Here is a 17415-nt window from a genome sequence, read left to right as displayed (position 1 = left end):
TCAACAGAAATATAACATACTCCATTTACTTTGTTTTAAATATTAAATGGGAAACAGTAATTTTAAAATGTAAATAATAATTCCATTTTTGCAAAATGAACTGCAAAAAGAAGGACAAAGAAAAAAATGGATAAGGGCAGAGACATGAAAAGAAAAAGAAGCAGAAAGAGATAGACAAAACGAGCAGGATATATTAATTATAGAATGGGAGAAAAAATGTTTAACTATGCATTGAGAGAGATAATAAGATGATGACAAAGACTCCTATAGCCAAAACAAGAGAAATTTTACATTAAAGGAATGTGAAAAAATGAGAAGACACACCTTCTTTTGCCTAAAAACATATTACACTCATTCTTCTTTACAAAATTTGACTCCACTCTCTCCATTCTTCCTACACTTTTTGGAAGAGCTGCGCTTACTCACCATTTCCTCCTGTCCCAGACTCCTCTTTCCTCATCCAGTGAAATGCGGCTTCTGTCCCACTTCCCCAGTGAGGCTGCTCTGCCCCAGACTCCACGTTGTCCAAGCAGACAGTGATGCCGCTGAATGCTGGCTCCCCTGCTACTTCTCTGACCACCACTCAACAATCTTTTGGAGAGAGACCTTCACTGCCTTTGTATTTGGGTGGTCGCTAGTGTCTATGATTCATCCACCCCTGTTCTCACTCAACTCACTGGTTACTTCTTTCCATCTCATAACTTAGGCTATCAGTAGGTTCTGGGTGTGTAGGTGGCATCTAAAGCTGATGACCCCACTGGTCTGCCCCAGGCCTTGATACCTTCCTGGACGTTAAGCCCTCTCTGTCCCTCTGCCAAGTGGACATGTTTTCCTGAGTTTTCCCCTGACCCCTCTGCCTCCTGGTGTATGAAATGGAGCCCATTACCTTTCTGTGCTCTCTACAGTCACTGCTAAGTTGTTGGTACTGGAAACTGGGCAGTTAGTCAGTCAAATTAATGCAGGAATGGTGAGGGCTGAGAAGATGCAAGCGACACAGGGCTGCTGGGGATGAGCAGATGTGAATGAAGACGAGAATGAAGCGAGGGTTAATCCATTTGGCATTGTTATAAAGGAATACCTGAGACGGGGTAATTTATAAGGAAAAAAGGTTTATTTTGGCTCATGGCTATACTGGCTGCACAAACATGGAAGCAGCATCTGCTTGGCTTCTGGTGAGGCCTCAGAAAGCTTTTATTCATGGCAGAAGGCAAAGGGGGAGCAGGGGTGCCACATGGTAAGAAACAAAGCAAGAGAGAGGAGAGGAGGTGCCAGGCTCTTTTAAACCACAGCTCTCATGTCAACTAATACAGTGAGAACTCACTCATTCCCATGAGGAGGGCATCAAGCCATTCATGAGAAATCTGCTCCCATGACCAAAACACCTTTCATCAGACCTCACCTCCAATATTGGGGATCACATTTCAACATGAGATTTAGAGGGGACAAACATCGCAACAATATCACAGGGTGAACTGAGAGTATTTGGCGTCAGAAGGATGGAGCCAGTAGCCTGGAGAGAAGTGAGGAGGGATACTTGGAGGGCACTCCAGGATCCTGCAGGCTCAGCAGGAGCACGTGGGGAGGGGGAGCACACCAGAGATACTGGCACAGAAAGAGGTGAAGGGCAAACCACCACTGCCAAGGAAGTGATGGTCAGTCAGTCTTCGTGGTCATTAATTGTCCTTTATTTCTATTACAGAAGTCTTGATCTTTACAGCAAAAGGTTGAAACCTTCAGGTCATAAGATACATATGTGAAGGCGCACATGTATTTAAGCAGTTCAATTCCGTGTGATTATAGAACCACCCACCTGGAAGACAGGCATTCACATTTAGTGCCAGAAACAATACTTTACCTCAAAGTGGGGAGACCTTCCCCATCCATGCCACGTCTGGTCCCCGAATGCATTCACCACCCAGCAAGGCTCTCTCAGACTGGCTCACAGCATTACCTGTCTCAGCAAAAATGAAGAAATCCCTGGTTCTGCATCCAGAGCCATGGTTCACAGTGCAGTTGCCCTTGCCTATTAAACTGGCCTCTCTTAAAAAGCTTGCACACCATGCACATTGTGGCATCACCTGTAGAAAATAAACGTGAAGGCTGTGCCCAGGGCTGAATGGGCTGAGACCAAGGTGGGCTAGGCCACTATTAGGGCCCAGGAGTTCAAGGGCAAAGAATAACCCTAAGAACATCTCCCAGCATAATCTTAGAAGGTGGAAATGTTCCCATCAGATTTTGTCCATTAGTTCCTTAAGGAGCTGGAGATTTGGTAAAGTGATTTAATTTTATTGAAAATAAAAGAAAAGGTATCCCTTTGACAGTGGTGCCTTTGTGCAGAGCACAGTCAGAGCATCTACATACAACTTCTCTGAGGTTGATGATCTCTTGGGAAATGAAAGAGGCATAAAGACTGTGCTGGCTTCAAGGAAGAGAGGCATTCTCACAAAGTTTCCCACCACACCCTGCTAAAGAGGTATCTGATATCCAAACATATCTAAGTGAAACTTGCCATGGAAAGATTGTACAGGATGTTTGCTATGGAAACACTGGTTTAGGATAAGCCCTTCAGTGACTTCTACCTACTAGACCACTGTCCCTAGGTTGCTTCTATATAGAAAGCCTTGAGCAATCATTGGCTCTGCCACATAATCCCAGCCAGACAGCCTCAACGCCCCATGTTGAGAAACACACACCAGCCTTGATTTTCCCAAGTGAGTGAAACCTCGGGAAGAGGCCTGACCTCTTGCCCTGGTAGGAGTTGAGGTGGGGACAGCAGAGAGACACCTCCAATTCTTGTTGGTCAGATCATCCCAGAATCTTGGTGTTGACCTCCTCCCGTGCTGGCCAGATCATCTTCAGCCTGCTCGCCAGCTATCTTCGCCCCTGTTCTCACCTCCTGCCCCAGCCAGCCCAAACCCTCACTCACACCTTGGAAGAACACAAGAGGAAAAACCCCCAGCAGCAGGAGCATGAGCGGGAACTTGTCCATCTCAGTCTGGGAGGTAAGAAAGACACAGCAGGGTGGCTGGAACCAGGCAGCTAAGTGCTCCGGAAAGGCTAAGACAGGCTGCTTCAGTGTGCAGATGAGAGCAGGCTGGAGAGTCTGGACTGAGCTGCTCCCAGGCTGTGGGCAGAAGCTTCCTTTTACACACTCGCCAGTGGGTGTTTCACCACTGTCCAGGCTCAGGAAAGATTTCCACAGAGCCAGCCCCTTTGGAGCTGCCAAGAATAAAGGACATCCCTGAAGCCCCGTCCTGTTCCTCATAGGTGAAGTCCAGGCCTTTCACTCTTCTTTCGACCCTCTCTGTGTTTGAGCTTATAGTCAGGACCATGGCCCTCCCATTACTGAATTGGTTTTGGCAATGCTGGGAGTAGTCATAATAGCAAATACTTATTCAGTATTATCCATATAGCAGGATCTGTATCTGCTACTACCATTCAATATGTCACTTAAGATATGTCTTCAGTCTATCAAAAACACATCAAGTACACAGCAAATGCTATCTAAACAACAAAAGTAACAGAGGCCTTACAGGTGATAGATTATTTTGCAAAGTAAGAAACAATTCCTGCTACTTTTGATACCCTTATTTTTCAGTCGCTGAAACACAGAGGAATTGGAATCAAGCTGGGTTTATGTAGATAGAGGCTCTCACTTACTGCTCTAGCACTAGGCTGGAAGGCTCAGAATTTCCACACATACTACCTGTAGGGCCTGGACTAGGGTGTGACAGGTAAGACACTTAGAGTACAAAATACTTTTCACTTTTTTTAAATTATAATTTTCTACTGATATTCTCTAAAATGTCTTTAGCTAATTCATCATGCTTGATAAAAACAATCAAGCCTCTAGATACTCAGCACTCCTGAGATCTAGCCAAGGAGAGGAAGAGCATGGAACAAGACCAGGGCTTTCCAGCTTGGATGCTAGACAAAATAATCCAGGTGGGGGTGGCAGGTTCTCTCCTCCATTTAGACAACCCTTCATGGCAGAGACCTTAACAGTCAGATCTTCAGTGAACCAGAGCACTCTGCACAGCACGTGCTGAGTGGGCAGAGCAGGCACTCAGAAGATATGTACTAGTAGGCAAAGGATGATACCACCTGTGAATTAATGCAGGATGGTCTGCTGGACCAGAAAGCAGCTGCTGGAGAGGAAGGGCCAAGAACCCCCATGCTTCCATAGACAGAAAGCCTGCCTGAAATCTACACCTTGAGTGCACAGCTATGATGCATGAGAGCTCCCGTTCCCCGTGCATGGAAGACAGGCTTGCACCGCAGCACTGGAGGAGTGAGGTGCATGAACAAGTGGTTCCATGTTGTACCCAGACCCCAAACTGACTCACTTTGCTGTGTTACCCCCATCACCAGGATGCTCAGCATATGCCTCTCACACAGTGGCTGAGGAATGCCAGGGGTGCCCATGATTCCCAATCCTACATCACCCCATCATAATTGTGCCAGAAAAGGGGCTGTGGACGGTGTAGAAAATAATGGAAATGGGATACAAACGAATTATTGCAGATGCCAAAGAATAAATTTCTTTGACTCATCAACTTACTAACACCTCTCTGATTTTTGCAGACTTAAAGAATGTGTTATTAACAAATATAACACAAAATGTGATTTTGGAAAAAAAAGTACTATCAGCTGGAGAATATAGGAAGAGAGGTTGCGAAAAAGAAAATAAGGATCTGGTCAAATTTTCTAGTGGAAATTTATGCTTATTGAACATCCTAATGGTGTTTCCTCTGGAAAAGATCGTGGTGGGTCCTTTCCAATGGAACAATTTAGCCTGGTGTATATGTTCTGTCCTGGCTGTTTTTTGTAAAACAAAATCCTGGGTTTATGCATTTATGGGGCTTGGTTCCACTAGGAAAAGTTTATGACTGCTATTGCATAAGAACATAATTGATGTACAGAGACCAAAATTATTAGCTCCACTTATGTACTAAATTTACCCTGAGCATCATGTGGGGCTGCCTCCCAGATTCCGAGGGCTCTATTCTGTTCCATTGGTTTATATCTCTGTTTTGGTACCAGTACCATGCTGTTTTGGTTACTGTAGCCTTGTAGTATAGTTTGAAGTCAGGTAGTGTGATGCTTCCAGCTTTGTTATTTTTGCTTAGGATTGTCTTGGGAATGCGGGCTCTTTTTTGGTTCCATATGAACTTTAAAGTAGTTTTTTCCAATTCTGTGAAAAAAGTCATTGGTAACTTGATAGGGATTGCATTGAATCTATAAATTACCTTGGGCAGTATGGCCATTTTCACAATATTAATTCTTTCTATCCATGAGGATGGAATTTTCTTCCATTTGTTTGTGTCCTCTTTTATTTCATTGAGCAGTGGTTTGTAGTTCTCCTTGAAGAGGTCCTTCACATCCCCTGTAAGTTGGATTCCTAGGTATTTTATTCACTCCCTGAATAGATTGCTATACTTCTTTCTATGTTTGGATCAGCTTCCAACATTTTACCCTTTGCACTCTTGGTATCATGCAGTCTATCCGAGAGTTCCTGAATCATGTGAATATGTTCCCAGGAGACAAGGAAGCAACACACCTAAATGCTTTGTTGTCTGTGAGTGAACTAATGAACAGAGGCACAGTGCCAGACTTTGAAAGAAATGACATGATTGATAACTGATTGATAAGCATAAATTATTTACATGTTGATTTGTGGACCGAAGAGCTAGTAGCAAAGGTCATCTTTATGTAACTATCCATAATACATATACCATGGTAACCAAAATTTGAACTATGTTATTGAGGGGCTGGTGTCATTTAACTAATCCATGGTAACTTATATTCATGCATATGGGACACATGCAAAACAAAGACCACCTGTATGTATTTTCCTCACAATTCCCTTTAGTTCATATTCATTCTTTCATACCTGAACCTACAACCTTCATACCTTTCCCACATGGGTTATCATCACTTCCATACCCAGAATAGTGCCCCACACTAAGCAGTCTCACTTCCTCCCCATCACCCACACTCCAGAGACCCTGAACACCATCACCCCACATTTCTGCTTCATTTATGGTGGGAGATATGTGTAGAGGGTCTAGGAGGACTGAATAATGCCAAACCCCAGAGCGTCCAGGCTATTCAAGAAAAAAGAAGATTGGGAGGTCCATGAAGACATGAGGTCCTTGAGGAATGCCACGTATTTTGGCCTGATGAATCTTAGATTTATTCTTAGTCTATGGCCTTGTCCAAGCTTAATGATTAGTAAAGCTCCTTTTCCTCCCCATTATGTCTCAGTCCCCAGGGTGTATTATGTGGCCAGCCTACTCAGAGATCATCAAGCACAATCTCTCTCCCAGTGCAGGAACCACCTCCTCTGACCATTCAAGACACTGGGTGTTCAGAACTACCACAAGCTTCCAGGCCCACTCCAACCCCCATCAGATCTTCCAGTGAAGCATCTAGGCTGAGACTCACAAGGGGAGTGCCCTGGCCAGAACACGCACTCCAGAATCTGATGCGACTGGGTTTGAAGCCTCGTGCCAGCACTTATTGGCTAAGAAACCCTGGCAACGAGTTACTGAATCGTTTTCCTTAATTTCCTCATCAAGGAAATAGAGAAAATAACCACACTTAAATTCTAAGGCTATTATCAGAAACATATGAGACTATTGTTCATAAGGTTCTTAGCAGATCTGGGACACCATAACTATTGTTTCTACTCTTCATATTATCCTTGTATGTTATTATTAACAACACTCTTTAAAAAGTCATATTTAAAATCGGAACTGGGAATCAAAGGAAGCCTAAATACGGGACACCTTTCTCTTCCATGAACTTTTGCTTTTCTTAGCAGCTCCTCCCAATGCCACCCCATTCCCATTCACACACACTCATTCATGAAGTCCCTTATTCCTTCTTTGTCATGTCCTAAAACAGAGGCCGGCTATCTCCCATCTCAACTTTTCCTTGCACTCTTGTTCTACCCTGAGCAGTCACTGTCTCAGCCCAGGGCCACAGGACAAGTGAATAACTCCCCATGTCCAGACAGCTTCTGAATAGAGAATACTATGATACGGGATGATGAATAGATTTACCATGATAGGTACCATTCATGTTTCAACAGGAAACATGGTATCCTCTTCCATCACCTGCTCACCTGGTCCCCAGGTATGTCTGTTTGGCAGGAGGTGTGGTCTGATGGAGGAGCTCTTCCTCAGGCAGGTGGAGCTCCCCGACTTGATGCATTTTCAGCCTGGAGTTCTTTACTCTGCCCTTGCACTGCAGCCTGGACTCTCCCCAGGTTGTGTGTGAGGCTTGCTCTCTACCTGAGAGTAAGTGGGTAGGGGAGAAGGAGGGATGGAGTGAGGTGGGAAGTTGCTCAGGGACCTCAGGCTTGGAGTGTGTCAGGTTCCCAGCAAACATCAATTCTTCCTGTACACCATGTTACTATTCCTTCAGAGATCCTGTCCTCAGGTTCTCCCACCGCCCTAAAAAAACAGAAAAAAAAGTTTCATAAACTAGGGTGTTTACTCTGCAGAAAGTGCAACGGGGCTGTAACACTCCTGCAGTGGGAGTCAGAAGATGCTGATAGCAAAACGGCTCTGCAGACAGTGGGTCCCTGCCCCCTGCCCAGGGCTAGGAGAGAGCCAAAGCCTGGGAAAGCTGGCCTTTCAGTGGCAGCCTGCTTCCAGGACCTCCTTCCTGAGGACGATGGACAAGCTATTGGCACTGAGTGTGGCTCTGCTCTTCCTCCTGGGCGATGAGTCCTGGGTGGGTGGTGGTCTGTGAGTGGTGGTCAGCAGTCAAGGAGCTTGGCTGGCTCATTTGTGATCCCAGCAACACCTTGGTACCTGATGGTCCAAGAAAAAATTGCCATTCAAAAGCCAAATACTACATTTTCATTATCTTTTTAGAAAATAGAATACAACATAAAACTATAATAGGATGACCAACTCATCTCGGTTGTCTCTGGGACTTTCCTGGCTTTGGCGCTGAAGGTCCTACATCCCAGAAAACCCTCTTTCCCAGGCAGATGGAGATGGTTATACACTTATGTACATGATAATTAGCCTGGAAGTGTGGAAACCAAAATATTTATATTCGTTAGTAGGTTATTAGGTTAACCTATTATCTAGTTAACAGGCTATTGGTTATGTTAACTTTTTTTGGTGACGGAGTCTCGCTCTGTTGCCCAGGCTGGAGTGCAGTGGTGTGATCTTGGCTCATGGAAAGCTCCGCCTCCCCAGTTCACATAATTCTCCTGCCTCAGCCTCCCGAGTAGCTGGGACCACAGGTGCCCGCCACCACGCCTGGCTAAGTTTTTTTTTTTTGTATTTTTAGTAGAGACGGGGTTTCACTGTGTTAGCCAGGATGGTCTCGATCTCCTGACCTCATGATCTGCCTGCCTCAGCCTCCCAGACTGCCGGGATTACAGGCGTGAGCCTCTGCGCCTGGCCTATGTTAACTTTTTATACATAATGTTATGTATTTTTAAAATTGTCTACAGTGACAAACGTGGTTTTATTTTTTAGAGCAGTTTTAGGTTCCCTGAAAAATTGGGCAGAAAATACAGAGTTCCCATATATCCTTTGCCCCCACACATGCACAGCCTCCCCCAATATTAACATCCTGCACCAGAGAGGTCTGTTTGTTACAGCTGATGAACCTATATTGACACATCCTTATCACCAGAGTTTACATTAAGGTTCACTGTTGGTGCTGTGCTTTCTGAGTTTCAACAAATATGTAAAGATATGTATCCACTACAGTGACCAAGTCTTAATTTGCTCAACAGAGAAGTTGGGGAAATTATATTTTTTATCATTTTTTATTTTTTTATTTTAGTTAAATTCTGGGATACAAGTGCAGAATGTGCAGGTTTGTTACATAGGTATACATGTGCCATGGTGGTTTAATGCACCTGTCAATGCATTGTCTAGGTTTTAAATCCTGCATGCATTAGGTATTTGTCCTAATGCCCTCCCTACCCTTGCCCCCACCCTCTGGCAGGCCCCGGTGTGTGATGGTCCCCTCCCTGTGTCCAAGTGTTCTCATTGTTCAACTGGAGTTGGAGAAATTATAAAAGTCATTTTAAAACAATACAAATTCCACTCATTGGTCCTGCCTTTATCATTTTTGGTCTTTCCCTGTCTCTCTTGATTAGGACCAGACTGAATTTCCTCATTTAGGCTGAAGAATTTGAGTTTGGTTATTGTTTCTGTTTGGGTTGGTGCTTTTGTGTAGGTACAGGGAGAATTAACCAGATCCTGACCTAGACAGACTCATCTGCTTTACATTTCTCTCCTTTCTCATTCTCATGTTTTAAAAGTCCATTAAAACATATGTAATAATCTGAGCATTAAAGACATGCTTGTTGAAACTTTTATCAGAAAGAAAATGTTATAAGCTAATTATAGGCATATACAATTAAAATGGGAATTTAAAAAATGGATTTAATAATAATATAAATAATAAAAATATCCTTTATTTTGACATTAACTCCTGTTTTAAAAGAGAGAGAGTGAAGAGGAAGAAGAGAGAGGGGAAAGAATGAAAAAGAAAAGAGAAATATGAAACATGATAAACAGATGAAGAGAGGGAAGCTGAAGGAAAAAATAAAGGTGCAAAGAGTGATAAAAAGATGAATAAAAGTAGAGATTCCCAAATCCATAACGTAGACATTCTGTATTAATTTGAGGAAAGAAAAACATAAGAGAGAAATTTATCCTTGCCTAAAAACATGCCAAAATCATTGGGGTTTTTTGTTTGTTTGTTTGTTTCTTTAAAAAGCTGTCCTTGCTTCTACCCTCTCTATGGCTGCCGCACCATCATCTCATTCTCCTCCTAAAGCTGCTTTACAGAGCTGGCCACACTCGCCATCTCCACTCCCTTTCTGTTCACTCTTTCATTCACTCTCATCTGCCTTCTGCCTCTGCTTCTCACCTGAACTTGCTCTGACCAAGGTCGTCAATGATGGCCAAGGTCATCCTTGTGTGATCGGACCCCTGAAAGTCCTTGGACTATGTTAACCCCTCACTGCCTCTTAGAATATCTGACGCTCTTGAATTCTGGCTACTATTCCTTTCGGTTTTCCTTCTAAACACCACCCCTTGTTCTAAGGGTCACCTCGTTTTTGCTCTGCACTGGGTCCCACAAGTACTGTCTCCAGTCCTGCCTAGATCTCATTTTCCAGTCTCCTTAGGAGCATCACCATCTGATGTTGGAAAACTTTGGCCTCTGAAACCAGGTTGAGGCAGTTTCCTTTTAGGAAGAGCTAGGGCACCCCTAAGTCCAGGCTGCTGGCTCCAAGCAGACAGTTCTTCCTCTTCTTGCACTCTTCCCTATTTGATGAATATGTTCCTCAATAAGTTTTTCCTAGATAAGTTTCTTTGTGCTCTGATTTTTAGTAGATGTAAGGATAAGAGTGAAGAACTGCAACCTGTGGCTGGAGCACACGCAGCCTCTGCATTTGCCTTTGGCTGAGTCAGGACACTGGTAGCTGACAGTGACTCCCTGAGGTGCACTCGCAAGCATGCCACTTCTGCACAGCTAGTGTACAGACCTGGCCACTGGCAGGATCCTTATCATGGTGTCCCTGACTGGGTTCCCATGGGAGGAATCACAGAATTTATTTGATCACACATTGAATCCACAATGACTTGGTGAAGCTGCTGTCTTGGAAAGCATTGGGGAGCAAGCAAAAACCCCCACTACATTTTTCCCTAGCAATGTTTGTCTGCACATATTTGCCAGATGTGGAGGGCAGGGTGGGTGGCAGTGCAGCTTCCACATATGCAGAGAGCTGAGCTTGGTGGTGTGCAGCCTCCTGATGTGTCCCTTCTGCCTCTGCACGCTTCTGTCTCTCAGGGCAATCCTGTGGCACAGGCACTGGCAGTGAAACCTTTCAGAACGTCACCTCTGGCTCCTCCTGATGTCTCTGCAGCTTCTTCCATGGAATTCGGCCTCGTCCATTTTTTGGCCTTTGTGTTCTTGGATGTAATCACCACTTCTTCACTCTCTCAGCTGCAGTGCAGCGCTCATGCCTGCCTGGGTATGGCCTCCTAGAGTACAGTTACAATCATTTTACTCTCCTGCTCAAAATACTTTCCTGGTCCACCTGATGAAACAGCAACTCCTTGGTGTGGCATTCAAGAGTCTCCCCAAATGGGCCTCACCTTATACCCAGTCCTCCAGGATTACACTCCAACGGCAGCTCATCCCCAACTTGTGCAACTGATGATCTCTCCAGACATTGCCAAATGTGCCCTGGAGGGGAATTCACTCCCAGAGGAGAGCCACTGCTGTAGTCCCATCCCAATGGCAATTTTACATAAAATATTCGATACCCTTTTCTCCTACCTTTGCCTCCAATATTTCCTGTTTCCATTTTAACCTCCCTTATAATGCTGAATCCTATTCTGCCTTACTATGAACATTATCTGTAAATAGGTATTCCCTTTTCTTCCTTTTACAATGTTTTTCTGTCCCAAGGAGACCACAAGGCATAATTGAAAAAGAAATCTAAACAAGAATATCCCTTAGGCTCTGAAGTCAGCTGTCTGTGTATTTCAATCTCAGACCTACCACTTATTCACTGTATGGTCCTGGAGAGGATATTGAATCTCTCTAATCCTTTCTTTGCTTGTTAAAAGGGGATAAAATGTTAAGCTGAAGATGAAGAAATTATCACTTTTCGCACAGCACTGTCTCTGGCAGAAGTTGCTGCCTGAACAGGGTTTTAGCAGTGGAGGCCCCCGCATGGTCTGGGAAGATGGCACTCGCTCCTGTGCCCTGAGCTCTGAGGTTGTGAGGGCCAGGTGTGTGCTCAGGTTAGGGTGGGGAGCGGTGGGAGGAGGCTCACAGTGAGGAGCTGGCCTCAGGCCTGTGAGGAGAGGTTCTCAGAGTTCATAGACTCCTCCTCCCTCCCAGCCACTGCCCTGGTCATTCTCCCTGGAGCTGTGGCCCTGGAATGTGTTCAACACACATTATTACCAGTCATGGAGAATCATGCACTCCTGAGCATGATGGGATGTCAAGTCAAGATAAATGGATTACATCCTATGTAGTTTCTCAGAATCTCCTCTGTAAAATAGAGACAATATATGCTTGGCAGTATCACTGATATACAGGGTAAACTCTAAAGTGCCATGTGAACAAGGAGCAAATTAAACAGTTATTATAATATCAGCAAAACTGAAACCCTCAAGGGAAGGAAAATCATACTCAGTGGCTACTCTGTGAATGCCTCCCTCATGCCAGGCACTGTGCTGAGTGTGTTCACCTACATGGCCTCATTTCATCCTCAGAAGTGTGAAACATGGAAATGGTATTATCTCAATTCTACGCATGAGGCCACGGAGGCTCAGAGAGGGTGATTCTCTTTCCAAGGTCACATAGCCAGAAACATTCAGAGCAGGTTCCAATTCAAGTCTGCATGGTGGCCTTTCCTGGGTGGCGCCGTGCCAGTGCAGCCGCATCAGCGGGGGCAGTGCTGGAACACACAGAGGGATGCGCGCGAGACAAAACGGTTGCTCTTTCTGTTTTCCTCCTCCCTCTCTGGTGGCTCTGGCTCCAAGTCAGCACAAACTTGAGAGGCCTTCTGGTGCCCGTGTAGGCTTCACCAGCCTCCAGGAAGGGATAGTTCATGCAGAATGGACCAGTGGTCTGGGCCTGCGGAGGTCAGGAAGGGATTTCTGCTATATAAACTGCGAGAGGCTAATGGAATGGGAGCTCCTCTCTGAAGCTTGTCCAGATTTCTCCGAATTTCAGGTGGTTAAGTAACAGCACACATGTATGGACTGCTGCTTATTGAGAAGCTTGGCCATCCTCCCCCAATCTCCCATCCACTCCACCCAACACCCACACCCACCCTCCCCAACCACAATCAGCTCTTTCTTCTGGGATTTACCTCTATGAAATAATCAGTTTATATCACCCTCCCCTGCCGACACCAGCTCGGTTGGGGAGACCCTAACCCAGTGGAGCTAGAGGAATTAAAGACACACACACACAGAAATACAGAGGTGTGGAGTGGGAAGTCAGGGGTCTCACAGCCTTCAGAGCTGAGAGCCTCGAACAGAGATTTACCTACGTATTTATTGACAGCAAGCCAGTGATAAGCATTGTTTCTATAGATTTTAGATTAACTAAAAGTATTCCTTATGGGAAACAAACGGATGGGCCAAAATAAAGGGATGGGTCTGGCTAGTTAGCTGCAGCAGGAGCATGTCCTTAAGGCACAGACCGCTCATGCTGTTGTTTGTGGTTTAAGAACGCCTTTAAGCGGTTTTCCGCCCTGGGTGGGCCAGGTGTTCCTTACCCTCATTCTGGTAAACCCACAACCTTCCAGTGTGGGTGTCATGGCCATCATGAACATGTCAGTGCTGCAGAGATTTTGTTTATGGCCATTTTTGGGGCCAGTTTATAGTCAGATTTTGGGGGCCTATTCCCAACAGTCCCCAGCCATAATCAGCCCATTCTTCTGGGATTTACCTCCGTGAAATAATCAGTTTATATCACTATTTCTGATTCACTCATCTTAGACATTATCAATGGACTTTTTTTTTTTTTGAGATGGAGTTTCACTCTTGTCACCCAGACTGGAGTGCCATGGCACCATCTCAGCTCACTGCAATCTCTGCCTCCAGGGTTCAAGCGATTCTCCTGCCTCAGCCTCCAGAGTAGCTGGGATTACAGGCATGCGCCACCACACCCGGCTAATTTTTTGCATTTTTAGTAAAGACAGGGTTTCTCCATGTTTGTCAGGCTGGTCTTGAACTCCCAACCTCAGGTGATCCGCCTGCCTCAGCTACCAAAGTGCTGGAATTGCAGGCATGAGCCACTGCACCTGGCCATCGATGGACTTTCTTATGATGATAGATGAGAACTTCCCTCCTTTATACATCCCCCCGCCCCTCCCTCCATGCTCTCAATAGAGTTGATTCACAGTGCAGGATAAGTCAACGCTTAGTCGTCCTTTCAGACATCTATTTCGTGTCTAAGATATGCCAGACTCTGGGGACAGAGTAGTGTACACACAGAGGACACTCATACAGATAAAAAATCAAAATGATACATAAAATATTGCCAGGTAATGATAAAAACAATGAAGAAAACTGAAGGAGGCTAAGACAATAGACAGTGGCAGGGAGTGCTTTTTTAAAAGGGTTTCTCTGAGAAGTGATATTTCAGCAGAGAACCGAATTAAGGAGACTGAGGGAGGAAGACATGCTGGTATCTGGTGTTAAAACAAGTATTCAGGACGCTTGCTAAAGACAATGACTTGTTTCAGGGGGAACTACCACTGTAGGCATAGGGACCAATGCAGTGCGCTCTTGCAGTGGGGAGAGACTGGGCTGTAGTCTGAACACAAGGAAAGGGTGTTACAGTCAAGGAGCAGGGTAGGGGTCGGTGGATGGGACATTACCATGTGGAAACTTCTAAGATTCTTGCTAGACTCAATAGATTCTTGCTGAAGGCAAGCCAGGGTGATAGATATTCAGGTGATCAGATATCAAGGGCAGGGATTTTCACTGCACTGACTTAGCAGGATTCCTGCTCAAAGTGGATTTTACAAACAGAGAGAAAGGCAAGCCAAAGATTGGGCCTAGTGGGGCAGAGGACTCAAGAGAGCCTGATTCAAGTTAGATCAAGGAGAGTTTTTGCCACTGAAGGAAAAGGACTCCAGGCAGAAGGAGCAGTAAATGTGAAGGCCTTGAGATGGGGGCTATGTTGTTCTGGCCTTGGTGCATTAGCCCTCAACATCTTCCCCAATCTCTTCTAATAGCTCTTCTTTCTGGAAAGCCAAGAACTACATTTGCCAGTGTGATTAAAATTTCACTAATTAAGAATGCAGAAATGAGGGTCATCTTGTTGTACCTGAGCGAGTTAGAGAGAAACGCCACACTTTGAGCCGAATTCAGGAGTCGTTTATCAGCCAGCGCCCGAGAGGCGGCTAACGCTCGAAATTCAATCGGCCCTGAAGAAGGGGCTTGATTTTCTTTTATACTTTGGTTTAGAGATGGGAGGGGGTGCTTAATTGTAGCAATTCTACAGAAGTTAAAACATGCAAAAAGTTAAAAAAAAACGAATGGTTACAAGAAAACAAACAGTTCCAGGAGCAGGGGCTTTAAATTTATCACAAGGCGATAGGTACGGGGGCTCTGCTGGACACAAACGCCGAGGCTTTATGGTGCTATCTCTTGAGCGAATTCCTGGGAACTATGGACATTGCTTGCCACAGTACCTTATCAGTTAATTGGACTCTTCGATCTGCTTACACAAGTTAACTCCTTGAGGAAGGGGATGGGTGAGGAGTCCTTGATGTCTTGTAAATGAAGGAGCCAAATGGTGTTCGTCCGGTTTTCTCAACTAAGGGAGAGCCTATTCATATTGAAACAAGGTTAGGTAGCTAAGGGAGAGTCTTAAAACAAGGTTAGGTATTACAATCTTTCTGCTATGTCTATAGTTTTCCGATGTTTGAGAATATGTTGGAATTTTGTGAGGTGTTTTGTGTTTTATTTTGTTGGTTGTTTTTGCAGAAGCAGCATTCTACATCCAGGTACCAGCTTTATGATAGTGAGAGAAGAGGAACAAGACACCATGTCTTGCCAATGCCCGTCTAGCATGCGTGGAGTGCATATACAGCTACAAGTCCTAGTGGCAGCCCACTCCTGATTCCTGGCTCACACAGTGGTGCCCTCCTGAAGCCAACAGTTCCTGTGGAAGCTGCCTGACACTCTACAGTGACTTTCCTGATTGTGATAGAGGTGGCAGCCATTAAAAAAAAAAAGAAAAAAGAATGGCAAAAACTGCAATTACTTTTGCACCAACCTAATACCTTTCTGCTGAAGGTAACTCACCAGACAAGCTCCTGTGTCCTGCAAGTGGGCCCTGACTGGTAGATATTTAAATAGTATTCACAAGTGAAATAAAATGAGTACTAGGATGACATTTTTTATTACATGATTTTATATTCTTTTTCCTACAAATAATAATTACATTATCATTTGCTCAATTAATTTTATGCTTCTGGCTAAGCTTCCCCACCTTCCAAGAGCTTCTCAGTACACATTTGTACATGGCTGTCATCGGAGCTATCAGATAATATATTATTATTTCTCTGGAGACTTCCACTTTGGGCCATTCATTCTCCTGCCCTTATCTGGGAGGGTTGTCTCCACCCCAGCTGCACAGCAATCATGCTGAGGCCTTCCTTCATGGCAATCCTGGGAATTTCTTTGTGACATCATAAAAATATCTATTTGGTCCTTGCTCCTGGTTCCTGGCACAGGGATCCTAATACCCTTGGAACTGTCTTTTTATGCTAATGAGATGATTCATGAAGTGGGCCTAGGTAGCTTCAGGGTACGGGTTGGTCATCAGAGAAACCAATCCCATGATTCAAGGGTTGAGAAGTTCAGCTCCACAAATGGCCAATGATTTAATCAATTTTGCCTATGTAATGAAGCCTCCATAAAACCCTCTAAACAGGATTCAGAGACCATCTGGGTTGATGAACACACTGATGTGCTGGGAGAATGGCCCACCCACAGAGGCCACGGAAGCTCTGCACCCAACCACCTCCCCGCCCCACCTGCCGCCACATACCTTTCCTATGTATTTCTTCCATGTGGCTGTTACTGTGCTGTGTCCTCTAGAATAATCTGGTAAATATAAGTAAAGCACTTTCCTGAGTTCTGTAAGTCCTTCTAGCAAAGCATCAAACCTGAGGAAATCTAAGGAGTAGAGGGAGAGGTTGGAAGGGATGTTTCTGAGAAGGCTTCTACTAAAAATCAGAGCACAACAAACTTATATGGGAACATATTTATCAAGTAGGGAAGAGTGCAAGAAGGGGAGGAATGTCTGCTTGAAGCCAGCAGCCTGGACTTAGGTGTGCCCCAGCTCTTCCTAAAAGAAAGCTTCCTCAACCTGGTTTCAGAGGCCAAAGCTTTCCAATACCAGACGGTGATATACCTAAGGGGACTGGAAAATGAGATCTAGGCAGGACTGGAGACAGCACTTGTGGGACCCAGTGCAACGCAAAAATGAGGCGCCTTTGTTAGAAAGTGACGAAGAATTTCCAGAGATTGAAAGCAAAGCAAGAAACCAGGGCCCTTTTGAGTGTGGGCCCATGCGCCTGCTCAGGAAGCCAGCCCTGGGTGTAGGATAGTTGTATAATAGGGAGCAGTTAAGCTCCTATCTAGGTCTTAATGCACACACATATTAAAAAGACTTCTCCATCATCCCCTGAAGCTATTTTAAATAAGGCATTGATTATCTAGGCTTTCCAAATAGGTATTTCTGCCCTCCACCCTGAAGATTTTCAGTATAGAAAGTTTCAAACATATACAAAAGTAGAGAGTACCCGCATGTACCCATCACACAGCTTCAACAATCATGCACACAGGACCAATCTTATTTTATCTTCTTTTTTTTTTTTTT

The 17415-nt window shown here is 44.8% G+C and overlaps 1 long non-coding RNA gene across 1 annotated transcript; it reads right to left on the bottom strand.

Annotated features, from left to right (window-relative positions):
- Positions 1–1092: 1092 nt before the first annotated feature.
- LOC105369551 (uncharacterized) lies at positions 1093–17392 on the bottom strand. The gene is made up of 2 exons (XR_007062934.1): positions 16582–17392; positions 1093–7460 (listed from the first exon to the last, which is right to left on the bottom strand). It is a non-coding gene; the product is annotated as an uncharacterized LOC105369551 (long non-coding RNA).

This window comes from Homo sapiens, chromosome 11 (genome assembly GCF_000001405.40).
Source record: "Homo sapiens chromosome 11, GRCh38.p14 Primary Assembly".
Lineage (NCBI taxonomy): Eukaryota > Metazoa > Chordata > Mammalia > Primates > Hominidae > Homo > Homo sapiens.
This window is presented reverse-complemented; position numbering and strand designations above follow the sequence as displayed.